The sequence below is a fragment of the Homo sapiens genome, chromosome 20 (assembly GCF_000001405.40).
Source record: "Homo sapiens chromosome 20, GRCh38.p14 Primary Assembly".
NCBI classification, from domain to species: Eukaryota; Metazoa; Chordata; class Mammalia; order Primates; family Hominidae; genus Homo; species Homo sapiens.
The window spans coordinates 37,009,895-37,037,550 of record NC_000020.11 but is presented as its reverse complement, the minus strand read 5'-3'; the positions used below and the strand labels follow the sequence as shown (position 1 = coordinate 37,037,550).

The window sequence follows — 27,656 nt, the reverse complement described above, 5'->3', positions numbered from 1 at the left end:
TTAATGTTTAGAGAAATGAAAAAATAGTAAAAATATTTAGTATACTATAATTTAAAACTTACGAAATATTGAGAATTATTTTCTTTTTTAAAAACTTAGCAAGAATAGTTTAAACTGTGCTTGCCACCTTCCTCTCATATAATTTATAACTAAGTGAGCATCTTTTCTGTACCTTGACAGATTGTCATGTTTCTAAATTTGGATCCGCTTTACATTTGTATATTCATTACATTCTTATTGAGCATCCACCATAGCTGTTCCAGTACTGTGCTAAGAAAAGATCATTTCAATGGATTTGCAGCTAACTTTATGGCTTCAACTCGAGTCTTGCCTTGAAATGTCACCTTTAAACATGCCTAGTCAGATTCAAGGGCTTGCGTGGATTTCTTAGATATAAGGCATTCACATGGACTCTTGTAAAAGAGTAATGGAAACAACTATAGAAATTTGCACTTGTTTACTGAAGACAGGAGAAGTAAAAGCTGCTTTCATAAGCCCAAGAATTACGGAGATTTTTATTAAACTATAACTATTTTCCCAATCACCTCACTAATACAGAGAGCTTCTAAATCATTGCCAGGGGTCATTTTCATACCTTTTGAACATGTTTTGAAAATAGATTACAGGGCCAGGCGCAGTGGCTCACGCCTGTAATCCCAGCACTTTGGGAGGCCGAGGCGGGCAGATCACGAGGTCAGGAGATCGAGACCATCCTGGCTAACACGGTGAAACCCCATCTCTACTAAAAATACAAAAAATTAGCCGGGCATGGTGGCGGTTGCCTGTAGTTCCAGCTACTCAGGAGGCTGAGGCAGGAGAATGGCGTGAACCTGGGAGGCGGAGCTTGCAGTGAGCTGAGATCATACCACTGCACTCCAGCCTGGGCAACAGAGCGAGACTCCATCTCAAAAAAAAAAAAAAAAAGAAAAGAAAATAGATTACATGACTATCTAATTATCTAGTGAATGTAAAAATAAATAATGAAGGCCGGGCACGGTGGCTGAAGCTTGTAATCCCAAATGAGGCAGGTGGATCACCTGAGGTCAGGAGTTCAAGACCAGCCTGGCCAACATGGCAAAACCCTGTCTCTACTAAAAATAGAAAAATTAGCCAGGCATGGTGGCACATGCCTGTAGTCCCAGCTACTTGGGAGGCTGAGGCAGGAGAATCGCTTGAACCCAAGAGGCAGAGGTCACAGTAGGCCAAAATCGTGCCACTGCACTCCAGCCTGGGTGACAGAGCAAGACTCCATCTCATAAATAAATAAATACTTTTGTTTTAAAAGCATATTATTGACCTACCTGTAAGGAATAATTGGTTGAGGGAAGAATTGTGAAAAAAGATGTAGAAAAGATGTAGGGTTGTAAGGGGCTAGAAAAACCCGTGCAGCTGGTAGAGAGGGAATGGAAAGCAGATCCTGTGAAAGGATAGCACAGGAAGAGAGGCAAAATCCATAATCCTTACTTTATTTTTGATCAACACAGTACTGCCAACCCTCAGATTAAGGCAAGGTAAGCAGATTTATATCATCTTTACTCATATCTTCTGATAGATTTACTAAAGATGATTCCATATCTACTAAATTAGAAAGCCAGAGCTACCGCCTTAAACTGCTTGGAGTGCAAATATTCACAAAGAGGCAAAACTGTGACCCAAATTCCTGATTTTTGCTTTTGCTTCCCTTCTTCTCAGGTGCTCTCTACTAGGTAAGATTGGGAGATATTGGACTACTACTAAAATTTAGTGCTCACTTCATTCTACCTCTCAACCTCTACTTTGTCCTTAATGTTTTGCTCCTTTAATGTAGGCAGAGGTTCAAGAAACCAGGAAGATGAGTGATCATAATTTTCACGTTTTATCGTAGTGACTTATTTCATGCCTCTTTCTCCCAGTAGACTACATATTCCATGAGGGCAAAGGCCATGTTATTCATATCTAGCTAGTGCCCAGCATAAGTAACTCACTATCTGTTGAGTGAATGAGTAAACCTAATTTATTATTTTGGAATACATTTCTGTTTTAAATTTATTATTTTTTTTTAGATATGCAACCATTGTCTCCAATTTCTGTCCATGAACGCTACAGTTCTCCTACCGCAGGGAGTGCTAAGAGAAGACTCTTTGGAGAGGACCCCCCAAAGGAAATGCTTATGGACAAGATCATAACAGAAGGAACAAAATTGAAAATCGCTCCTTCTTCAAGCATTACTGCTGAAAATGTATCAATTTTACCTGGTCAAACTCTTCTAACAATGGCCACAGCCCCAGTAACAGGAACAACAGGACATAAAGTTACAATTCCATTACATGGTAACGTTATAGTGCATTTGTTTTGTACTTTTTCTGAGATAAAAATTTAAGAAATGTCTTAGTGGATTAGATCACATGGTTTTTCTAACTCATTATTTTTTCTTGAACCTATACTTTTTTTTTTTAAATAGATTTGAATTTTTTAGAGCAGTTGTAGATTCACAGCAAAATTCAGAGGAAGGTACAGACATTTCTCATAGTCCCCCTTCCCCAACCAGAGGCATATAAAGCCTCCCTCATTATCAGTATTCCACACCAGAATGCTACATTTGTTACAGTTGATGAACCTACATTACTGACACATTACCCAATGCCCATAGTTTACATTAGGGTTCACTCTTGGTGAATAGTTTATTGATTTTGAGAACGTATAATGACATGTATCTGTCACTATAGCTCCATACAGAGTAGTTTCACTGCCCTATAAATCCTCTGTGCCCCACCTTTTTGTTTTGAACCTATAGTGGTTTTTTTTTTATTTTTAAATTTTATAAATTTACTACCCTCTCTGTTTGTTTAGACTTATTTTACTTTTTCTTTTCTTCTTTTTTTATTTTTTGAGACAGGATCTCACTCTGTCACCCACATTGGAGTACAGCAGCATGATCTCATCTCACTGCAACCTCTGCTCCCAGGCTCAAGTGATCGTCCCACCTCAGCCTCCTGAGTAGCTGGGACCACAGGCAAGTGCCACCACTCCCAGCTAATTTTTTCTATTTGTGGTACAGATGAGGTTTTACCATGTTGCCCAGGTCTCAAACTACTTTTAAAATGTTCTTATCTGAGCTTTCCAATATGTATGTATTGAGCAAAAATTCTGTTTTTTGACTAACAGCTCAAGTGCTCAAAATGTTAAAAAAAAAAATGCTTTTTTTTCCAATAAATTTAAACTATAAATGTATCCCAGGCAAATACAAAATAGAGAACAAAATTTGCTTTTTTTTCCATAAATTTAAAGTATAAAAACAAAACCGAATATTCTTGTTTCTAGAAAATAAGGATTTATGCGGGGCATGGTAGCTTTCACCTGTAATCCCAGCACTTTGGGAGACCAAGGCAAGAGGATCACTTTAGCCCAGGAGTTTGAGACCCAGACTGGGCAACATAGCAATATCCTATCTCTACAAAAAATTAAATTAGCTGGGCATGGTGATGTATGCCTATGGTCCCAGCTACTTAGGAGGCTGAGGCAGGAGAATCACTTGAGCCCAGGAATTTGAGGCTACAGTGAGCCATGATCACGCTACTGTACTCCAGCCAGGACAACAGAGCAAGACATTGTCAAAAAAAAAAAGAAAAAGAAAAAAAAAAGGGGGCCCGGGGGGCGCCAGGCACAGTGGCTCACACCTATAATCCCAGCACTTTGGGAGGCTGAGGCAGGTGGATCACTTGAGGTCAGGAGTTTGAGACCAGCCTGGCCAACGTGGTGAAACCCCGTCTCTACTAAAAATAGAGAAAAAACATTAGCCGGGTGTGGTGGCGCATGCCTGTAGTCCCAACTATTCAGGAGGCTGAGGCAGGAGAATTGCTTGAACCTGGGAGGCAGAGGTCTCAGTGAGCCAAGATGAGGCCACTGCACTCCCACCTGGGTGACAGAGTGAGACTGTCTCAAAAAAAAAAAAAAAAAGTCCAGCTGCAGTGGCTCATGCCTGTAATCCTAGCATTTTGGGAGGCCAAGGCAGGCAGATGGCTTGAGCTGACGAGTTCGAGACTAACCTGGGCAACATGGCAAAACTCCCATCTCTAAAAAAAAAATACAAGCCGGGCACAGTAGCTCACTCCTGTAATCCCAGCACTTTGGGAGGCCGAGGAGGGCAGATCATGAGGTCAGGAGATCGAGACCATCCTGGCTAACATGGTGAAACCCTGTGTCTACTAAAAATATTTTAAAAATTAGCCGGGTGTGGTAGCATGTGCCTGTAGTTCCAGCTACTCAGGAGGCTAAGGCAGGAGAATTGAACCCGGGAGGCAGAGGTTGCAGTGAGCCGAGATCACGCCACTGCACTCCAGCCTGGGCGACAGAGCAAGACTCCATCTCAAAAAAAAAAAAAAAAAATTTACCAGGCATAGTGGCTTGCACCTGTAGTCTCAGCTATTTGCGGGGGTTGAAATGGGAGGATCACTTGAGCCCAGGAGGTCGAGGCCACAGTGAGCTGAGATGGCGCCACTGCACTCCAGCCTGAGTGACCAAGTGAGACCCTGTCTCAAAAAAAAAAAAAAAAAGAATTCAGTCATAACCTAGAATTACTATTTTGTAGCCTTCTTATACACACAGATATATGTATATATAATTGTCAAAATATATATAGTTGACAACTTTCCTAGAACATATGCAGATTATTTCTAATAATGCTTATACATTCAGGTGTCGCAAATGATGCTGGAGAGATCACACTGATACCTCTTTCCATGAATACAAATCAGGAGTCCAAAGTCAAGAGTCCTGTATCACTTACTGCTCATTCATTAATTGGTGCTTCTCCAAAACAGACCAATCTGACTAAAGCACAAGAGGTACATTCAACTGGAATAAACAGGCCAAAGAGAACTGGGTCCTTAGCACTATTTTACAGAAAGGTATGTGTTTTTATAGCACTTTAGAAGAATTTGTTTAATCAATGGAAGAAAGATTGAGTAACAGAGACAGACTTTGGTCTTTTTTTTTTCTAATATACATAACACAAAATTTACCATTTTAACCATTTTTAAGTGTACAGTTCAATGGTATTAAATACATTCACATTGTTGTGCAGCTTTATTACTACCGTCTATCTCCAGAACTTTTTCGTCTTCCCATTCTGAAATTCTGTATCCATTTCTCCCTTTCCCCAGCTTCTGGCAACTACTATTCTACTTTCTGTTTCTGTGAATTTGACTACTCTAGGTTCTTCCTATGAGTGAAGTCATACGATATTTGTTTGTTTTTGTGACTGGCTTAGCGTAATGTCTTCTAGGTTCATTCATATTATAGCTTGTGCCAGAATTTCCTTCCTTTTCAAGGCTGAATAATATTCCATTGTATGAAGAAGAGAAAAAAAGAACAAAAGAAAAAATATTCCATCATATGAATATACTTTTTTTTAATACCACATTTTGTTTATTCATTCATCTGCTGATGGGCATTTGGGTTGCTTCTACCTTTTGGCTATTGTGAGTTATGCTGCTATGAACATTTGTGTACAGGTGTCTGTTCAAACCAGGCGTGGTTGCTCATGCCTGTAAACCCAGCACTTTATGAGGCCGAGGCAGGAGGATCACTTGAACCCAGGGGTTTGAGACCACCCTGGGCGACACAGTGAGACCCTATCTCTATTTTAAAAAAAAAAAAAAAAAAAAGCAGCCAGGTATGGTGGCAGATGCCTATAGTCTTGGCTATTTTGGAGGCTGAGGTGGGAGGATCACATGAGCCCAGGAGGTTGAGGCTACAGTGAGTCGAGATCACACCACTGCGCTCCAGCCTGGGCAACAGAACGAGGCCCTGTCTTAAGAAGAAAAAAAAATAGCAACAAATATCTATTCAAGTCTCTGCTTTCAATTCCTTTGGGTATATTCCCAGAAATGGGAGAGTAATTTAGTATTTCATTTTCTGAGGAACCACCGTACCATTTTCCACAGTGGGTGGACCATTTTACATTACCACTAGCAAGGCACAAGTGTTCCAAGTTCTTCTCATCGTTGCCAACGTTTCGTGTTTTCTGGTTTGTTTGTTTTTTTGATAATGGCCATCCAATGGGTATAAAGAGACATCTTACTATAGTTTCAATTTTCATTTCCCTAATGATTAGTAATATTGAGTATCTTTTCATGTGCTTTTGCCCATCTATATATCTTCATTATAGAAATGTCTATTCGAGTCTTTTGCCCATTTTTTTAATTATGAGTTTTGGGTTTTGTTTTTGTTAAATTGTAGGAGTTCTTTATGTATTCTAGATATTAATCTCCTATAAAATATACTATTTACAAGTATTTTCTCCCATTCTGTGGGTTGCCTTTTCATTCCGTTGATAGTGTTCTTGACACATGAAAGTTTTTAATCTTAATAAAGTCAATTTATTCTTTTCATTTTTTGTCTGTGCTTTTGGTGTCATACACAAGAAATCATTGCCAAATCCAGTATTATAAAACTTTTCCCCTATGTTTTCGTCTAAGAGTTTTATAGTTTTTAGCTCTTATATTTATTATGTCTATTTTTTTTTGAGACAGAGTCTCACTTTATCACCCAGGCTGGAGTGCAGTCACGCAGTCACAGCTCACTGCAGCCTCCGCCTCCCAGGTTCAGATGATCCTCCCACCTCGACCCTCTGAGCAGCTAGGACTACAGGCATGTGCCACCATGCCCAGCTAATTTTCGTTTTTTGGGTTTTTTGTTTTTGTTTTTTTTTTTTTTGAGACAGAGTCTCACTCTGTTGCCCAGGCTGGAGTGCAGTAGCGCAATCTCGGCTCACTGCAACCCCTGCCTCCCGGGTTCAAGCAATTCTCCTTTCTCAGCCTCCTGAGTAGCTGGGACTACAGGAATATGCCACCACGCCTGGCTAATTTTTGTATTTTTAGTAGAGACGAGGTTTCACCGTGCTGGTTTGGCTGGTTTCAAACTACTGACCTCAGGTGATCCACCCACCTTGGCCTCCCAAAGTGCTGGGATTACAGGTGTGAGCCACCACGCCGGGCCTGTTTTTGAACTTTTTTGTAGAGACGGGGTTTCACCATGTTGCCCAGGCTGGTCTCAACTCGTGAGCTTAAGTGATCTGCCCACCTCAGCCTCCCAAAGTGCTGGGATTACAGCCGTGAGCCACCACGCCCAGCCCATTTTAATTTTTGTATATGGTGTTAGATAAGGGTCTAAAGTCATTCTTTTGCACATGGATATCCATTTTTCCCAGCACGATTTGTTGAAAGACTGCCCTTTCCCATTGAATGAGCTTAGAATCCTTGTTGAAAAGTCACTTGAGCATAGATATGGGGGTTTAATTCTGGGCTCTCTATTCTATTCATTGGACTATATGTCTATCTGTATTCAGTACCACACTGTTTTGATAACCATAGCTTTGTGTCATAAGTTTTAAAATCAGGAGGTGTGAGACCTCCAACTTTGTTTTTCTTTCTTAAGATTGTTTTAGCTATTTAAGATTTCTTGAGAGTCTGTATGAGTTTTAGGATGGATTTTTCTCTTTCTGCAAAAACATTGTGGAATTTTGACAGAGATTGCATTGAATATGGAGATCGCATTGGCTAGTGTTGACATCTTAAGAATGTCAAGTCTTCCAGTCCATGATCATAGGATGTCTTTTCATTTGCGTCTTCTTTAATTTCTTTCAGCAACATTTTGTAGTTTTCTGTATATGTCTTTTGCAAGACAAGTCCTTGCTTAAGATTATTCCTAAGTATTCTTTTTGATGCTATTGTAAGTAATAAGTAAGTAGAATTGTCTTAATTTCATTTTTTAGATTGTTCATTAATGTAAAGGAACACAAGAGATGTTGTTGTATTGATTTTCTTGCAGCTTTGCTGATTTGTTTATTAATTCTATCAGTTTTTATGGATTCTTTAGGTTTTTTGAGTTTTCCATACACAAGATTATGTCATCTGTGAACAAAGATAATTTTACTTCTTTCTTTGCAATTTGGATTTCTTTTTCCTGCCTTATTGCTCTAGCTAGGAATTCCCGTTCTATGTTGAATAAAAGTGGTGAAAGCAAACATCCTTGTCTTACTCCTGATCTTAGAGGAACACCTTTCAGGTTTTCAATTTGAGTATGATGTTAACTGTGGGTTTTTTATATACAGTTGACCCTTGAACAACATGTTTTTGCACTGTACAAGTCCACTTATATACAGATTTTTTTCAGCCAACACAGAATGAAAATACAGTATTTGAGGGATGTGAAACCTGTGTATATAGAGGGCCATCTTTTTGTACATGGGGATTCTACAGGGCCAAATGCAGGACTTGAGTATGCATACATTCAGGTATATGCAGGGGCTCCTGGAAGAAATCTCCTGTGTATACCAAGGGATTACTGTATATCCTTTATTATGTTTAGGTAGTTTCCTTCTCTTCCTAGCTTTTTGAGTATTTTTATCATGAAAGGGTGTTAAATTTTGTCAAATGCTTTCCTGTATCACTTGAAATGATTATGTGGCCATTTTCCCTTTGTCCTTTTAATATGGTGTGTTATACTGAATGATTTCCTTGTTTTAAATTATCCTTACCTTCTAAAAATAAGTTCTACTTGGTCATGGTGTATAACCCTCTTCATATGCTGTTGAATTTGTTTTACTAGTATTTAGTTGAGGATTTTTGCGCCAATATTCGTAAGAGATAGTGGTCTGTATTTTTTCTTATGCTTTCTTTGTCTGGCTTTGCTATCAAGTAATGTACCTTTAGCCACTTAAAAAATACATTTGACCTTTCAAGAGAACATTATGATCCTGGTGAGCTATAAGTTTAGACTCAGGCTCACAGGGTTTGATTCTGTTTTCAGATCTAACTTATGTTTTTTGCCAGCTTGTATTCTTTTCTAACTTTGAGTAAGTAGTTGGCCAGCCTCTGGAATTTACTGAAACTCTTTTGTGTTATGTTGCCGTAGAATGGAGTTCACTGTGGGACAAATACATGTTGGATCTCATGGGTGAATTTTAATTAGCGAAGAATCATTCTAAAGATTGCTGGGATACTGTGAGAAGGCTATATATTTTTTATTATTATTATTTTTAGAGACAAGGTCTTGCTCTGTTACCCAAGCTACAGTGCAGTGGCATGATCATGGCACACTGTAGCCTTGAACTCCTGGGTTCAAGTGATCCTCCCTCTTTGACCTCCCAAAGCACTGGGATTACTGTGTGAGTCACCACCCAAGCCATTATTTATTTATTTATTTTTGAGACAGTCTTACTCTGTCTACCAAGCTGGAATGCAGTAGCGTGATCTCGGCTCACTACAGCTTCTGTCTCCCAGGTTCAAGCGATTCACCTGCCTCACCCTCCCAAGTAGCTGGGACTATAGGTGTCCACCACCACACCTGGCTAATTTTTGTATTTTTAGTAGAGACGTGGTTTCACCATATTGGCCAGCCTGGTCTCAAACTCCTGACCTCAGGTGATCTGCCCACCACAGCCTCCCAAAGTGCTGGGATTACAGGCATGCGCCACCATGCCCAGCTGTTACTCATAATTTTTATTATAAATCTAGGCCAGGCATGGTGGCTTATGCCTGTAATCTCAGTATTTTCAGAGGCCAAGCCAGGAGGGTTACTTGAGGCTTGCAGTTCAAGACCAGCCTGGGCAACATAGCGAGACCCAGTCTCTACCAAAAAATTAAAAAATTAGCCAGCATAGTGGCCCATGCCTGTAGTCCCAGCTACTCAGGAGGCTGAAGTGGGAGGATAACATGAGCCCATGATTTCGAGGCTGCAGTGAGCTAAGAAGGTGCTACTACACTCCAGCCCAAGCAACAGAGTAAGATCCCGTCTCCAAAACTCAAAAATAAATAAAATAAATCTAATGTGTTACCCTTTAAATTAGCATATGACCAGTTCTTATTATAATGCCTAAATTATTTTAATATTAATGGAAAGGGACTAAAAACGGTTGACCTTAGACATAACTTGAATTTGTCCTATCTCTTACGAGCACATTTTGAATCATCAGCTTCTGATAAGATAGACATGTTAATCAGATATTTATAACCAAACATGACTGCAGTGCATCCCACAGCTAGATGGTTGGCTAGCCCATTCTATTGCCCAGGTTGGAGTACAGTGACTATTCACAGGCACAGTTATAGCACGCTAGAGCCCAAACTCCTAGGCTCAAGTGATCCTCTTTCATTACCCTCCGAGTACCTGGGTCTACAGGCAAATTTAAGTGTATTTCTCTACTAATCATTCTTTTTTTATTATTATTTTGAGACAGGGTCTTGCTCTGTCGCCCAGACTAGAGTGCATAGGCACGATCATGTCTCACTGCAGTCTACCTCCCAAGCTCAAGAGATCCTCCTGCCTCCTGAGTAGTAGGACCACAGGCATGCACCACCCCACCCAGCTAAATTTTTTTTTTTTTTGGTAGAAATGGAGTCTCGCTGTGTTTCCCAGGTTCATCTTGAACTCCTGGGCTCAAGCGATCCTCCCACCTCAGCCTCCCAAAGTGCTGGGATTACAACAGGTGTGAGCCACCATGCCCAACTAATTGTTCTTGTAATAATTTTTTGGTTTTTTTTTGTTGTTTTTTTTTGTTGTTTTTTTTTAAGATGGAGTCTCACTCTGTCACCAGGCTGGAGTGCAGTGGTGCAATCTCAGCTCACTGCAACCTCTGACTCCCTAGTTCAAGCAATTCTCTGCCTCAGCCTCCCGAGTAGCTGGGATTACAGGGACGCACCACCATGCCCAGCTAATTTTTTTATTTTTAGTAGAGACAGGGTTTCACCACGTTGGCCAGAACAGTCTCGATCTCCTGACCTAGTGATCCACCACCTCAGCCTCCCAAAGTACTAGTATTACAGGTGTGAGCCACTGCGCCCAGCCTAATAATTTTTTTTTTTTTTGAGATGGAGTCTTGCTCTGTCACCCAGGCTGGAGTGCAGTGGCACGATCTTGGCTCACTGCAACCTCTGCCGCCCGGGTTCAAGCAATTCTCCTGCCTCAGCCTCCTGAGTAGCTGGGATTACATGTGTGTGCCACCACACCCGGCTAATTTTTGTATTTTTAGTAGAGATGGGATTTCATCATCTTGGCCAGGCTGATCTTGAACTTCTGACCTCGTGATCCACCCGTCTTGGCCTCTCAAAGTGCTGGGATTACAGGCATGAGCCACTGCGCCCGGCAATAATTTTTTATATGTCCTTTTTTCTCTATGCTAAATAAATCTTCTTTAATTTATACTCTTCCTCAATCATGTTTTTCTCCATTCTTTTGTCACTTGATGTCATGGAAGGTCTCAGCCCACACTCTGAATTAGATAATTTTACATTAAGATAAAACATGAGGATTATTTTTTACATTTTTATATCAAATCCTATTTCTTTCACAGTACCTCTAATGTGTTTTCTGACCTCGGGCATAGTGATTATCTATTTATTTCTTAGATTTCAGTTTAGCTGTTTGAAAATAATAGTAGCTTAAACAAGAGAATTTATCTTTCACATAAAGTCTGTGTAAATAGTATGGGACTGCTGTGGTTACCACGACCATTAAGAACCCAGGTCCTGGCCAGGTCGGTGGCTCACGCCTATAATCCTAGCACTTTGGGAGGCCAAGACGGGCGGATCATGAGGTCAGGAGTTCGAGACCATCCTGGCTAACATGGTGAAACCCCATCTCTACTTAAAATACAAAAAAATTACCCAGGCATGGTAGCAGGCACCTGTAGTCCTAGCTACTCGGGAGGCTGAAGCAGGAGAATGGCGTGAACCTGGGAGGCGGAGGTTGCAGTGAGCCGAGATCACGCCACCGCACTCCAGCCTGGGTGACAGAGCAAGACTCCATCTCAAAAAAAAAAAAAACCCAGGTCCCTTCAAGGTTTTTTTGGCCATTTTCAACACAAGGTTTCTAACTCAGTCCATGATGACTGCTTCCCTTCCAGATATCATATCTGCATTCTAGCCAGCAGAAAGAAAAAGAGCATGCCTCCTCACCTTCAGAACCTGTCCTAGAAGTTACATACACCAATGCTGTTTATTTCCCACTTAGTCATATAGCCACTTGTAGAATGTTTTTTTTTTTCTTTTTGGAGACAAGGTCTTGCTCTGTCACCCGTGCAGGGGTGCAGTGGCAAGATCATGGCTCACTGCAGCCTCAACCTCCCGGGCTCAAGCGATCCTCTCACCTCAGCCTCCTGAGTAGCTGGGACTATAGGCACAGGCTACCACACCCAGCTTATTTTTTAATTTTTTGTAGAGAAGGGGTTTCGCTATGTTGCTTAGGATGGTTTCAAACTCCTGGACTCAACCAGTCCGTCCACCTCACCCTCCCAATGTGCTGGGATTACAGATGTGAGCCACCGTGCCCAGGCAGAATTTTCAAAGGGGCAAATATAGTCTTTATTACAGGAAGGTGGGTGTAAATGTTAAGGGTTCTGTTATTGCAGAAGAGGAGACAGACACTGGAAAACAACTCATTTATAGCTTCTACAACCATTCTTTGTCTTCTGTTCCTTTCAATTATAGCTCATTTATTTTCATTACATTGTGGGTTTTGGAGCAACTGATTCTCCAAGGAATTTCATCTTTTAGGGAAATCCCTTCTTTGAATGAAATAGTCTTCAGAAGTATAAACAAAATATATGAAAGCAGAGCTGCTTTGGTTGGCAGTTGGGATGGTTGAGGGAGAGTCTTGCTCTTTTCACCACCTTTACTGGCTTCTCTCCTCTGTCCCTTCACCCCCTCCTATGCCTAAGGACTGTTTTAACAACAGAGCTTGAAAATATAGCAGTTTCCCCATTTACTTACCATTTTTAATTTTCAAAATGGCAAATTATTGCCTCTGATAATTAACCTAAGTTTGACAGAAATAAGACTTTTTGGTGAATTCTTTATTTTGAATGTTGTTTTAGAATCTAACATCCTTTTCCTTTCATTTAATTATAACCTGCTCATAGATTAGAAGCTAGAAAATATAAAAGGAACTGAAATGTCTGAATCTATAATAAATTCAAAATAACCATTCATTGAGTAAATTATAACGATTATCTATGCTGAACTCAGTGTGATGCTGGTGTTCTATGCCTAAATAGAATTTACTGTGAATGTTAGAATCAAAAGCCTTCCAGCGTATGTGTATCCTGTAAGCATTGGATCAGCTCTGTAAAAGATACTTTACCAAGTATTACTTAACTACATATTATTTTTAATTATTCTAGCTAGGACTATATATCTTATCTTCTCCTTTCATGAATATAAAGTTCTAGCATCTTTCTCTCTGCTCTTACCCTACTATTTACTGAGCATGGCTGGACCAGAAACAAGGGGAGAGGATGCAGAAAATTTGTTTGCTGTAAAATAAATCACTGGTGGCTTTGGAGTCAACTGTTTGTCTCTCTTTATATTAGATCACTGAGTAGCTTAAATTAGTTTTTAAGCTCGGTTTGTAGGTATTTTTCTGCCAAAGATAATTTTCTGTAAGGGGTAACTTTTTTTTTCCATCTGGAAATTTAAAGACATAGTTTGGGCCAGGCGCAGTGACTCATGCCTGTAATCCCAGCACTTTGGGAGGCCGAGGCCAGCAGATCACCTGAGCTCAGGAGTTCGAGACCACCCTAGGCAACATGGTGAAACCCCATCTCTACTCAAATACAAAAAAAAAAAAATTAGCCAGGCGTGGTGGCACTTGCCTGTAGTCCCAGCTACTCGGGAGGCTGAGACACAAGCATCACTTGAGCCCGGAGGTGGAGGTTGCAGTGAGCCAAGATCATGCCACTGCACTCCAACTTAGGCTACAGAGTGAGACTCCGTCTCAAAAAAAAAAAAAAAAAAATAGTTTGAATAGAATAGTCTGGTTTAGGAATACCACATCACGGTTATCAAGTCTTAAAATAAAAAAACAATCTTGCAGGATCTAGGGCCAGGGAATTGAACTGAATTTATTTTCACAGGCTTTAAAAAAAACAACAACTTTGTATCTTACTTATTTTAACATTCCTGTTTCGTTCCCATTGTGCTCCTAAAAAGTGTAGAATATAGGAGCAATTTTTTAAATGGTTTTGCTTTCTGACTCATTTTTGGAGTCAAATATTTCATTTATTATTTGGCATGTTAGACCCCCTAGCAATTTTACCTGAACCCAAAGAGAATAGACAGAGACTTCTGAGCTTTGAAAAATTATGCATTCGAGCCGGGCACAGTGGCTCACACCTGTAATCCCAGTACTTTGGGAGGCTGCAGTGCATGGATTACTTGAGGTCAAGAGTTAAAGACCAGCCTGGCCAACATGATGAAGCCCTGTCTCTACTAAAAATACAAAAATTTAGCTAGGCGTGGTGGCATGCACCTGTAAGCCCAGTTACTCGGGAGGCTGAGGCAGGAGAATTGCTTGAATGCAGAAGGCAGAGGTTGCAGTGAGCCAAGATTGTGCCACTGCACTCCAGCCTGGGTGACAGAGCGAGAATCCACCTAAGAAAAAAAAAAAAGGAAAAATTATATGTTCATAATTGTCATGATGCAGGTAAATCCTATATTTCATTTTTTCTTACTTTACATAGTTGGCAGCATAGAGTAATAGATGACATCTTTAAAAAATTTTTTCAAGTAGTTTTGCTTTAATCTATATCCTCCTGCCATAGCAGTGAACTAGTGCTATAGAACAGAAATTTTATTTAATTTAGTATATCAACAGCCTATGTTTTTTAATCTTGGTCTTGGTAAGACATAAAAATTTGAGAAATGATTTACTTGGTGTTTTGCATCAATGTGTTACCTTCTATTTTAGGTCTATCATTTGGCAAGTGTACGCTTACGTGATCTATGTCTAAAACTGGATGTTTCAAATGAGTTACGAAGGAAGATATGGACGTGTTTTGAATTCACTTTAGTTCACTGTCCTGATCTAATGAAAGACAGGCATTTGGATCAGCTCCTCCTTTGTGCCTTTTATATCATGGCAAAGGTAATGTATAAATTGGGAGAAGAGGCTGGGCATGGTGGCTCACACGTATAATCCTAGCACTTTCGGAGGTCAAGGTGAGCAGATAGCTTGAGCCCAGGATTTCGAGACCAGCTTGGGCAACATGGTGAAACCTCATCTCTATAAAAAATATAAAAATCAGCTGGGCATTGTGGCTTGCACCTATAGGCCCAGCTACTTGGGAGACTGAGGTGGGAGGATCTCTTGAGCCCAGGAGGCCAAGGCTGCAGTGAGCCGAGATCATGACACTGTACCTCAGCCTGGGCAATAGAGCAAGACCCTGTCTCAAGAAAAATAAAAGTTTCTGTACCATATCGCATATTGCTTTCTCGTGATTTATTGTGCTGCCTCAGAAGAGCATTTTACTTTCTAGTTGCTACAACGTGTTTTAAGTCATGGAATAACATATCTTGCTTGTTTTTTAAAATTCTCATATATCTGATACAATCATTTGTCTTGACTGTACTGGCCACACTGGCAGTCCTAGCAGATGTATACAGTTAAGACTTGATTTTTCAGCTTTTTGAGACAGAGCATATGTTTTTAAACTCCTTTGTGACCCCTCCTCCCACAATGCCTCTTTGAAATCTCTGTAAAAAATAGGTCTTAATAATTGTTACTGCAGCACTATGGTGGTTGACGAGAAAATGCACCATACAAAAGGCAACAAAAAGGGAGCAAAGAAGAAAATGGTTGATTCATTTTTTAAGAAAGATTGGTTTGATGTAAAAAAGCACCGACTATGTTCAATACAAGAAATACTGGAAAGACACTAGTTACCAGGACTCAAGGAACCAAATTGCATCTGATAGCTTCAAGAGTCATGTGTTTGAAGTGTATCTTGCTGATTTGCAGAATGATGAAGTTGCAGTTAGAAAACTCAACCTGAAGGGCCGGGCGCAGGCTCATGCCTGTAATCCCAGCACTTTGGGAGGCCAAGGCAGGCAGATCACGAGGTCAGGAGATCAAGACCATCCTGGCTAACACAGTGAAACGCTGTCTCTACTAAAAATACAAAAATTAGCTGGGCATGGTGGCACGCGCCTGTAGTCCTAGCTACTCGGGAGGCTGAGGCAGGAGAATCACTTGAAACCGGGAGGCAGAGGTTGCAGTGAGCCAAGATCATGCCACTGCACTCCAGCCTGGATGACAGACTGAGACTCTATCTCAAAAAAAAAAAAAAGAATTAAAAAATTAAAAGATAAATGTTACTAACTAATCGTGTGTTTTCCAGAAGACTGTTAGAGTTCAGGCTTTGCCATTTCTAGCTCATCATTATAGAGAACAGGTTTAGCACTAATGGACAGTGAAGCAGGGGAAAAGAGTGACTTAAGTGAAGTTTATGATCACAGAGATCCCAGAAGGAATTCCTTTTTGGATCACTAATCCATTTTCTTCCTTTTGGCCACCACTGTGACTTCTGTCTAAGCATTAGAAACCCTACAGTCTGTCCTGAAATGTTAAAACCTAATCCTGTAATAGCCACTCAGTTTGATTGAGAATCATCACTGTAAGATATTTTTAATCCTTCGTATGTGGTTAATTTACTTTTAAGTAAGTACTTAAAAATTAATAAAACTGGAGACTGCAGGGAATTAAACAGATCTGAGTTTTCTTATATCTTTTTTTATATAAAGAAATGGATTTTCAGTAGAGTCACACCATAGCAGTTTCACTGCTTTTTGATTAATGAAACTATTAAGTGAGTCCCCACAGGCCACAAAGCCTGAACTTTAAAGGTAGAAAAAATCATAAATGTTAGTGGTTTTTAGTCATGGACTGGCCTGGGGTTAATGGTTTTCTGCAAGGTTGCTCTCAGTGCCAACTTATAATTGAAGTTTTGTTCAGAGCCATTTTTCTTTCAAAAAGCAGTTGATAAATGCGGTTTTTATTTTCCTTAGGTAACAAAAGAAGAAAGAACTTTTCAAGAAATTATGAAAAGTTATAGGAATCAGCCCCAAGCTAATAGTCACGTGAGTTACATTATTTTTCCTACTGTCCAAAAATAGATTTACTCTTTTCCACTGACAAGTTATATAAAAGGTAAACTTATTTTATAGTTTTAATATACTTCAGATTTTCTGTTTTAATGGATAACATTAAACTCAAGAGATAATTTCATTGAAGGACAGTTTCAATAGAAGCCAGGAAGTCTGACTGTTTCCGACTCATCCATATACTTTCATATACTTCTCATAAGTTCTGCCATTCCATTTGTTCATTTAATGAAAGATATGTATAATGGCTGGGTGCGGTGTCTCACGCCTGTAATCCCAGCACTTTGGGAGGTGGAGGCAGGTGGATTACCTGAGGTCAGGAGTTCGAGACCAGCCTGGCCAATATGGTAAAACCCTGTCTCTACTAAAAATACAAAAATTAGCCAGGCGTGGTGTCACACGCCTATAATCCCTGCTACTCGGGAGGCTGAGGCAGGAGAATTGATTGAGCCCAGGAGGCAGAGGTTGCGGTGAGCCAAGAGCATTCCACTGCACTCCAGCCTGGCCGACAGAGCGAGACTCTGTCTCAAAAAAAAAAAAAAAAAAGTTATGTATAATAATAATAATATTCTTTAATTATATGACTTTATTTTTTAATGATATTTAAACCCAGTGAAATTTGAGGATTCATTAACCTAACTACAGCTTCTTTTGCCATCTGCTAAGCATCCTAATGTTTGCATCTTTGAATAGATGTTAAACATTTCTGATTATATTGTTCTGACCGTGGTGAAAATTCCATGAAACCTTTCAGTCATGGTAGCAGAGTGGACTGGCACACAATAAGCATTTAATGAATGTTCATGTCATATTGTTGTTATTATTGTACCTGAAGAACACAAGTAAATTACCTTAAGGGTTTGATCATTCAAGAACCTAGTTGCTCTGCTCTTAGGAAGCATAATGGCCTCTTCTCTGGCCCTGGAAATTGTAGACAGAAAGAGAGAGGTAGTGGCCTAGACTGCAGACCAAAATAGAGATGTGGCCTCAGTATTAGTAGTTATATCCCCTTCTAAGAGAGCTTTGTTTAAGCCCTAAAATACATTATAGCAAGCAATATAGAGACATTTGAAGAACCAAGTACAGGTATTTGTTATATCCTGTGATAAGCTAAGAGTTTCTGGGCTTCTTCAGGAAAATCCCTCAGGAACAGAGCCTAGAAAGCTCTAGATTGTCCTTGAAGATCATTAAGGTGAGGTTAGTGTGAGTCAAGAATGGGCCAAGCCATGGTTCCCTGAATATCTTCTTAATACCAGTAACCTATAATACAGTACAAGGGGGAATGGATCATGCCTTTCCAGCTATCTCAGAGGTGAGAAATAGTTTAGGGGCAGGGAAGGGAAAAGATTTTCATGTGGCCATCTGAAAGGAGATGGGAATGGGCTGGGGGCAGAAAAACAAGCTGCATTAAGAACAAATGACTCTGGTCCAGGCGCAGTGGCTCACGCCTGTAATCCCACCAGTTAAGGAGGCCAAGGCAGACAGATTGCCTGAGCCCAGGAGGTCAAGGCTACAGTGAGCCATGATTGTGCCACTGCACTCCAGTCTGAGCCATAGAGTGAGACCCTGTCTCTAAAAAAAAAAAGAAAAAAAAGACCAATTGATTGTTGTGTAAGGAATTAAGAAGAAGGAGGAATTAATTCAGGTCTTTTGTTTTTTGTTTGTTTGTTTTATTTTGTTTTGTATTTGAGCAGAGTCTTGCTCTGTTGTCCAGGCTGGAGTGCAGTGGTGCGATCTCAGCTCAATGCAACCTCCACCCACTGAGTTCAAGCAGTTCTGCCTCAGCCTCCCTAGTAGCTGGAATTACAACTGTGCGCTACCACACCCAGATAATTTTTGTATTTTTAGTAGAGATGGGCTTTCACCATGTTGGCCAGCTGGTCTTGAACGCCTGGCCTCAAGTGATCCACCCACCTCAGCCTCCCAAAGTGCTGGGATTACAGGTGTGAGCCACTGCACCTGACCAAATTCAGGTCTTTAAAGTTGCTTTCATTTAGTAAAACCTGATCATCAGTCTTTAGTTGCTATTTCTTCTGTTTTATAAACTAAGCCCATCTTAGATGGTAGGCTCTTCTCCAGTATCCCCTCTTTTATGGTATGTGTTATAATCTATACTTACTAGAGCTAATAACATTTTACCCTTGAGTATCACTTATACAGACAAATAGTTTTTAATTGGTTTGATATTTTGCTCTTCTCACTTTGATTTTGTTTAACCTGTACCTCTGTGACTGAGCTGTCCTTTTCTTCCCCTCTGGCATGTAGGTATATAGAAGTGTTCTGCTGAAAAGTATTCCAAGAGAAGTTGTGGCATATAATAAAAATATAAATGATGACTTTGAAATGATAGATTGTGGTAAGTTATCCAATTTAACATATTATATGTAAAACACATTGGATCACACTGTACATAATACAGTGGGTGTCAGACAACATGGAAATGTGAATCATAAGGAGGTGAGGTGGACAATGCATATGTTTTGAAAACAAATAAGTTTGAGATTAGAATGTGCTGGTATAGTTTATTGAAACCATTAATTTGTCCCCTGTTAATTGTGTTTTGGAAGAAGTTTTCTAGTCTACTTATACATGTTAATGAAACACGTAAAAGAGACTTAATAAAATTCTAAAATCTGAATGACAGGGAAAACAAGGTAGCTGACAGTAATCTTCCCGAGGAGTCTGTTAAGAAAATGTCCCGGCTGGGCATGGTGGCTCACACCTGTAATTCCAGCACTTTGGGAGGCCAAGGCGGGTGGATCACGAGTTCAAGAGATCAAGGCCATCCTGGCCAACATGGTGAAACCCCATCTCTACTTAAAAAAAAAATACAAAAATTAGCTAGGTGTGGTGGTATACGCCTGTAGTCCCAGCTACTCAGGAGCCTGAGGCAGGAGAATCGCTTGAAACCAGGAGGCGGAGGTTGCAGTGAGCTGAGATCACGCCACTGCACTCCAGCCTGGCGGCAAAGTGAGACTCTGTCACACACACACACACACACACACACACACACAAGAAAATGTCCTGTTCATATAAGTATTACTTATAGGTAATTCTGCTACCACAGGCAAGACTGCACCCTCTTGCCACCATCATGCTAAGACTTCAGGCACTAGTAATCTTTTTTTTTCAAAGAAAGAAAAATCAAATGGTTAGTATTCATACACCTCTTCTGCCTACCTCCTTTCCCTTGTCTCATCTTTCCATGTATTTCAGGTGTATGTAATATATACATGTGTATATACTATGATTTTTTTTTTTTGAGATAGGGTTTTGTTCTGTCACCTACACTGAAGTGCAGTGGTATGATCATGACTCACTGCAGCATGGACATCCCAGGCTCAATCAATCCTTCCACCTCAGCCTCCCGAGTAGCTGGAACTGCAGGCATGCACCATCACCCTGGCGAATTTTTATATTTTTTGTAGAGACGGGATTTTGCCATGTTTGCTCAGGCTGGTCTCGAAATCGTGAGCTCAAGTGATCCGCCCACCTTGGCCTCCCAAAGTACTAGGATTACAGGCATGAGCCACTGTGCTAAGCCTAGGTACTGTGATTTCTTTAATGCCACAGTGTGAGACATTTAGGTCATTTCTCCTTTTCTTGTCTCGTCTTGTCTCGTCTCGTCTCGTCTTCTCTCCTCTCCCCTCTCCTCTCCTCTCCTTTCCTCTCTTCTTCCCATCCCCATCCCCCTCCTCTCCCCCTCCCCTGCCCTCCTTTCTCTTTTATTTTTTCTTTTCTTTTCTTTTCTGAGACAGGATCTTACTCTGTTACCCAGGCAGGCATGCAGTGGCACAATCATGGCTCACTGCAGCCCTGACCTCCGGTGCTCCTTTCATCTCAGTCTTGTGCCACACCCAACTAATTTTTTGTAGAGGTGGGATTTTGCCATGTTGCCCAGGCTGGTCTCCAACTCCTGGGCTCAAGCAGTCTCCCTACCATGGCCTCCCAAAGTGCTGGGATGACAGGTGTAAGCCACCATGCCTGGCCAGGTTGCTTCTAATTATGCACAGCTCTGTGATGAGCATCATTTGTAGCTTAATCTTTAGGCCACATCCTTAGGATAAATTCTTAAGAGAAAATCTGATGAATTAAAGCAAATTTTTAAATTATAAAAATATCCATAATCATTATGGTGTCCACTGGGATATAAACTTTTAAGATTTCATTCACCAAAAAGATCTTTTAATAATGTCCTAGAATCTGACTCCGTTTGAGGATAATAGGCCAAACTCAATTCTTTTTACATAAGTGTATTATTCTGGAGCCTTTTCAAGGCAACGAGGAGTATATAAGACAGTAACCCTAGCCGGGTGTGGTGGCTCACACCTGTAATCCCAGCACTTTGGGAGGCCAAGGTGGGTGGATCATCTGAGGTCAGGAGTTCGAGACCAGCCTGGCCAACATGGCGAAACCTTGTCTCTACTAAAAATACAAAAATTAGCTGGGCATGGTGGTGAGCACCTGTAATCCCAGCTACTTAGGAGGCTGAGGCACAAGAATTGCTTGAACCCAGGAGGCAGAGGTTGCAGTGAGCCAAGATCACACCACTGCACTCCAGCCTGGGTGACAGCGTGAGACTCCATCTCAAGAAAAAAAAAAAAAAAAAAAAACCGCTGGGCACGGTGGCTCACGCCTGTAATCCAGTACTTTGGGAGGCCGAGGCGGGTGGATCACAAAATCAGGAGTTCAAGACCAGCCTGGCCAAGATGGTGAAACCCGTCTCTACTAAAACTACAAAAATTACCAGGTGCAGTGGCAGACACCTGTAATCCCAGCTACTCAGGAGGCTGAGGCAGGAGAATCACTTGAACTTGGGCGGCAGAGGTTGCAGTGAGCCAAGATCCTGCCACTGCACTCCAGTCTGGGCGACAGAGCTAGACTCTATCTCAAAAAAACAAACAAGCCCGGGTGCGGTGGCTCACGCCTGTAATCCCAGCACTTTGGGAGGCCGAGGCAGGTGGATCATGAGGTCAGGAGATCCAGACCATCCTGGCTAACACGGTGAAACCTCGTCTCCACTAAAAATACAAAAAATTCTCCGGGCGTGGTGGCGGGCGCCTGTAGTCCCAGCTGCTCCAGAGGCTGAGGTAGGAGAAGGGCATGAGCCCAGGAGGTGGAGCTTGCAGTGAGCGGAGATCGCGCCACTGCACTCTACCCTGGGCGACAGAGTGAGACTCCATCTCAAAAAAAAAAAACAACAACAAAAAAAGCCATTTTCTATATTTGTTATACATGTTGCTTACCTATCCAGGGTGGTTTTTCTGTTCCTACAAAACCAGACATCAGAGGTTAGCTAGAAAGCTGTGGATCACTTGCCTGTTTTGTGTTTTTTCTATGAGAAACTAACTGCTAGCAAGTATCTGAGCTACAAGAGCAGTGAAGTTCCAGAGAGTAGAAGTAAGCAAAAGATAATAGACGATGTCGTTTTCTGTTTTGTTTTCTTTTTGATAAGTATCTGCCAAAGAAACTTGGGTGACTGAGAGTTTGCCACTTCCTGTATATATAGGTTTCAGATCAAATTCTGCTACACAATTTCTTTCTTTCTTTCTTTTTTTTTTTTTTTTTTTTGAGATACAGTCTCACTCTTGTTGCCCAGGCTGGAGTGCAATGGTGCGATCTCGGCTCACTGCAACCTCCGCCTCCCAGGTTCAAGTGATTCTCCTGCCTCAGCCTCCCGAGTAGCTGGGATTACAGGCACCTGCCACCAGGCCCAGCTAATTTTTGTATTTTTAGTAGAGATGGGGTTTTGCTATGTTGGCCAGGCTGGTCTTGAACTCCTGATCTCAGGTATTCCACCCGCCTTGGCCTCCCAAAGTGCTGGGATTACAGGCGTCAGCCACTGCACCTGACCTTTTGTTTGTTTGTTTTGAGACCATGTCTTGCTCTGTCACCCAGGCTGGAGTACAGTGGCACAGTCACAGCTCACTGCAGCCTTGACCTCCCAGGCCCGAGTGATTCTCGACTCAGCCACGTCCTGGCTAATTTTTATATTTTTTGTAGAGATGGGGTTTCACCATGTTGCCAAGGCCAGTCTTGAACTCCTGGGTTCAAGTGATCCATCTGCCTTGGCCTCCCAAAGTGCTGGGATTACAGGCGTGAGTCACCGCACACTGCCTTACATACGGTTATTAACTAGATATATTTATTAGCAAGTAAGCAAACAACCATTGTTACAGATCCTGTACAGTGGTGGTGGCACAGGGCAGGGAGAATATCCAGTGATAATGAACTCAGGAATTCTGGCACTCAAAAAGAGAGAACACAGTGGCTTACATCTACAATCCCAGCACTTTGGGAGGCCAAGCCAGGAGGGTGGCTTGAACCCAGGAGTTCAAGACCATTGTGGGTAACATAGTGACAGCCTATTGCTACAAAAAATTTTTTAAAATAGCCACACATGGTGGTGGGCTTCTGTAGTCCAAGCTACTCAGGAGGCTGAATTGGGAGGTTGGCTTGAGCCCAGGATGTCAAGGCTGCAGTGAGCCATGATCTTGCCGCTGTACTCCAGACAGAGCAAGACCCTGTCTCAAAAAAAAAAAAAAAAAAGAGAGAAAGTTATGTAGGAGGATATACAGTCAGACAAGTCTATATTCAGATAAGTCACCTTCCAGTTCTTAGAGCTATGGTTAGATGCTATGACCCAGATTTGGACACACCAAAGAACACCAACTTGGGAAAAACAGTTCTGGTTCTATAAACAAATTCATTATGAGTTGTAAAATAATTACTGTTTAAAAAGCACACACACAATTTATATATCCTATGCAGTAAGTTCATATATCCCAGTTCTATGTCTGACCAGCACCCATAGAAAAGATTTGCTCAAGAACAGGTGCCAAGATTTCAGATGCAGGATTCAGTCAACCTTAAGGCTACCATCAAGCAAATACCGTGGATCAGAATTCAGGGCTGGACACAGGACTTCTCAGAGCTTTTAGCCTTAACATTATTATCCCTAAGAGTAAAGCTGAGAGACTTCACTGGATCTTTCATCCCTTTCATGGCTATTGAGGGTAGTGTCTCAAATTTTTTTTTTTTTTTTTTTTATTGATCATTCTTGGGTGTTTCTCGCAGAGGGAGATTTGGCAGGGTCATAGGACAATAGTGGAGGGAAGGTCAGCAGATAAACAAGTGAACAAAGGTCTCTGGTTTTCCTAGGCAGAGGACCCTGCGGCCTTCCGCAGTGTTTGTGTCCCGGGGTACTTGAGATTAGGGAGTGGTGATGACTTTTAACGAGCATGCTGCCTTCAAGCATCTGTTTAACAAAGCACATCTTGCACCGCCCTTAATCCATTTAACCCTGAGTGGACACAGCACATGTTTCAGAGAGCACAGGGTTGGGGGTAAGGTCACAGATCAACAGGATCCCAAGGCAGAATAATTTTTCTTAGTACAGAACAAAATGAGAAGTCTCCCATGTCTACCTCTTTCTACACAGACACGGCAACCATCCGATTTCTCAAATCTTTTCCCCACCTTTCCCCCCTTTCTATTCCACAAAACCGCCATTCTCATCATGGCCTGTTCTCAATGAGCTGTTGGGTACACCTCCCAGACGGGGTGGTGGCCGGGCAGAGGGGCTCCTCACTTCCCGGTAGGGGCAGCAGGGCAGAGGCGCCCCTCACCTCCCCAACGGGGTGACTGGCCGGGCGGGGGGCTGACCCCCCCACCTCCCTCCCGGACGGGGCGGCTGGCTGGCGGGGGGGCTGAACCCCCCACCTCCCTCCCGGACGGGGCGGCTGGCCGGGCAGAGGGGCTCCTCACTTCCCAGTAGGGGCGGCCAGGCAGAGGCGCCCCTCACCTCCCTGACGGGGTGGCTGGCCGGGCAGGGGGCTGACCCCCCCACCTCCCTCCCGGACTGGGTGGCTGGCCAGGCGGGGGGCTGACCCCCCCACCTCCCTCCCGGACGGGGCGGCTGGCCTGGCGGGGGTTGACCCCCACCTCCCTCCCGGACGGGGTGGCTGCCGGGCGGAGACGCTCCTCACTTCCCAGACGGGGTGGCTGCTGGGCGGAGGGGCTCCTCACTTCTCAGACGGGGCGGCTGGGCAGAGACGCTCCTCACCTCCCAGACGGGGTCGCGGCCGGGTAGAGGCGCTCCTCACATCCCAGACGGGGCGGCGGGGCAGAGGCGCTCCCCACATCTCAGACGATGGGCGGCCGGGCAGAGACGCTCCTCACTTCGTAGATGGGATGGCGGCCGGGAAGAGGCGCTCCTCACTTCCTAGATGGGATGGCGGCCGGGCAGAGATGCTCCTCATTTTCCAGACTGGGCAGCCAGGCAGAGGGGCTCCTCACATCCCAGACGATGGGCGGCCAGGCAGAGACGCTCCTCACTTCCCAGACGGGGTGGCGGCCGGGCAGAGGCTGCAATCTCGGCACTTTGGGAGGCCAAGGCCAGGCGGCTGGGAGGTGGAGGTTGTAGCGAGCCGAGATCACGCCACTGCACTCCAGCCTGGGCACCATTGAGCACTGAGTGAACCAGACTCCGTCTGCAATCCCGGCACCTCGGCAGGCCGAGGCTGGCGGATCACTCGCGGTTAGGAGCTGGAGACCGGCCCAGCCAACACAGCGAAACCCCGTCTCCACCAAAAAAATACGAAAACCAGTCAGGCGTGACAGCGCGCGCCTGCAATCGCAGGCACTGGGCAGGCTGAGGCAGGGAGGTTGCAGTGAGCCGAGATGGCAGCAGTACAGTCCAGCTTCGGCTCGGCATCAGAGGGAGACCGTGGAAAGAGAGGGAGAGGGAGACCGTGGGGAGAGGGAGTGGGAGAGGGAGTCAAATATTTTAACCAATCTGCTTATCTTAAATACTTTTGATTTCCTGAACATGAGCTCATTTTTAGCATTAGTCACACTTAATAAACATTCATTATTTTCATCAGTAAAAACCCATTTCTGGCTGTACATGGTGGCTCACACCTGTAATCCCAGCACTTTGGGAGACCGAGGCGGGCAGATCACTTGAGGTCAGGAGTTTGAGACCAGTCTTGCCGACATGGTGAAACCCCATCTTTACTAAAAATACAAAAATTAGCCAGGCATGGTGGTAAGCACTTGTAATCCCTGCCACTTCGGAGGCTGAGGCAAGAGAATTGCTTGAACCCTGGGGGCTGAGGTTGCAGTGAGCTGAGATTGTGCCACTGCACTCCAGCCTAGGCAACAGAGCAAGACTCTTTCTCAAAAAAAAAAAAAAAAAAATTCTGACCTTGAGTATGTTAATGAGCAAAGCATTGGTCATTGACTGAGATATGCCTAGCAGAAACTGTTGGAGTGGAGAATGAATTTCCTGATTAAAACACCAGCTCACTCCTCATGGGCTGTGAATTCTTCAATGTCATGTTAGCAGACTGCTCCAGAGTGGCAGTCTTGATTAGAATACTTGTGAGACCCAGGTTATAGCTTAACCTAAGTAACACAAACATAACACTGTACTCAAGTGTATTGTAGTTAATTGAAAACTTTACATTGCTTCCTTAGAAACTTGTTTTAAGGATTAAAAAGAATTATATTTAGGCTGAGTGTTGTGGCTCATGCCTGTAATCCCAGCACTTTGGAAGGCTGAGGCAGGAGGATCCCTTGAGCCCGGAAATTAAAGACCAGCATGAGCAACACAGCAAGACCCCTGTCTGCAAAAAATGAAAATAAAAAATTAGCTGGGCATGGTGGCTCACACCTGTAGTCCCAACTACTTGGGAGGCTGAGGCAGGAAGATCACTTGAATCCAGGAATTTGAGATTGGAGTGCACTATGATTGCACCACTGCACTTCAGCCTGGGTGATAGAGCAAGATCTTGTCTCTAAAAATAAAAAAGATAATTATATGTATATGTATGTATGTGTGGACACACACACACACACACACACACACACATAGTCATGTGCCATATAATGATGTTTGAGTCCGTGATGGTCCACACATACAACAGTGGTCCTATAAGATTATAGTGCTGTATTTTTACTGTACCTTTTCTATGTTTAGATATATTTAGATGCACAAATACTTGCCATTGTGATACAATTGCCTGTGGTATTCAATACAGTAACATGCTGTACAGGTTTGTACCTTAGGAGCAATATACTATACCATCCAGCCTAGGTGTGTAGTTGGCCATACAATCTAGGTTTGTGTAAGTATATTCTATAGTATTCTCATGACAAAATCATTTCAACAATGCATTTCTGAGAAGATAACCCATCATTATGCAATACACAACTATGTATACATATATGCATATATATAATATTTAATACAGGGCTTGTTCATAGTAAGGCCTTAGTAATAGCTATTATTTATAAGCAATATCAAATTTATTGTATTAATGAGTATGGCTTTTTTAGCATTAGTCACACTTAATAAACATTCACTATTTTCATCAGTAAAAACCCATTTCTGGCCGGACATGGTGGCTCACACCTGTAATCCCAGCACTTTGGGAGACCGAGATGGGGTCTCACTGTGTTGCCCAGACTGGTCTTGAACTCTTGGGCTCAAGTGATCCTCCCACCTCAGCCTCCCAAAGTGCTGGAATTACAGGCATGAGCCACCATACCCGGCCAAGTATGTTTTTTTAAATGTCTTTTTTTTCTTCAGTTTTTTTTTAATTTTAGAGATGAGATCTTGCTCTGTTGCCCAGGCTGGAATGTAATGGGGCAATCATAGCTCACTGCAACCTTGATTTCCTGGGTTCAAGCGATCCTGTCATCTCAGCCTCCCAAGTAGCTAGGGCTAAAGGTGCA

The 27,656-nt window shown here is 42.5% G+C and overlaps 1 protein-coding gene and 1 pseudogene across 7 annotated transcripts in view, besides 1 other annotated feature; both read left to right on the top strand.

The window, feature by feature from the left end:
* RBL1 (RB transcriptional corepressor like 1) overlaps positions 1-27,656 on the top strand; it is a 99,649-nt gene that overhangs the window by 58,447 nt on the left and 13,546 nt on the right. For 6 of the 7 annotated variants that reach the window (NM_001323281.2, XM_047440348.1, NM_002895.5 and 3 more), the window contains 5 exons: positions 2,043-2,309; positions 4,675-4,886; positions 14,725-14,901; positions 16,821-16,892; positions 19,182-19,272. In NM_001323281.2, coding sequence (NP_001310210.1) covers positions 2,043-2,309; positions 4,675-4,886; positions 14,725-14,901; positions 16,821-16,892; positions 19,182-19,272 — 819 coding nt within the window. Of the gene's footprint in view, positions 1-2,042; positions 2,310-4,674; positions 4,887-14,724; positions 14,906-16,820; positions 16,893-19,181; positions 19,273-27,656 lie in introns of those variants that run through there. The other variant, XM_047440350.1, reaches the window with a different exon arrangement.
* On the top strand, positions 15,542-15,808 carry RPS3AP3 (RPS3A pseudogene 3; annotated as a pseudogene).
* Positions 24,838-25,779: an enhancer, noted in NCBI's record as "H3K27ac hESC enhancer chr20:35640175-35641116 (GRCh37/hg19 assembly coordinates)". NCBI's record gives its function as "activates a minimal SCP1, AML or CMV promoter by ChIP-STARR-seq in naive H9 embryonic stem cells {active_cell/tissue: H9 hESC(naive)}" and the evidence as "EXISTENCE:reporter gene assay evidence [ECO:0000049][PMID:30033119]".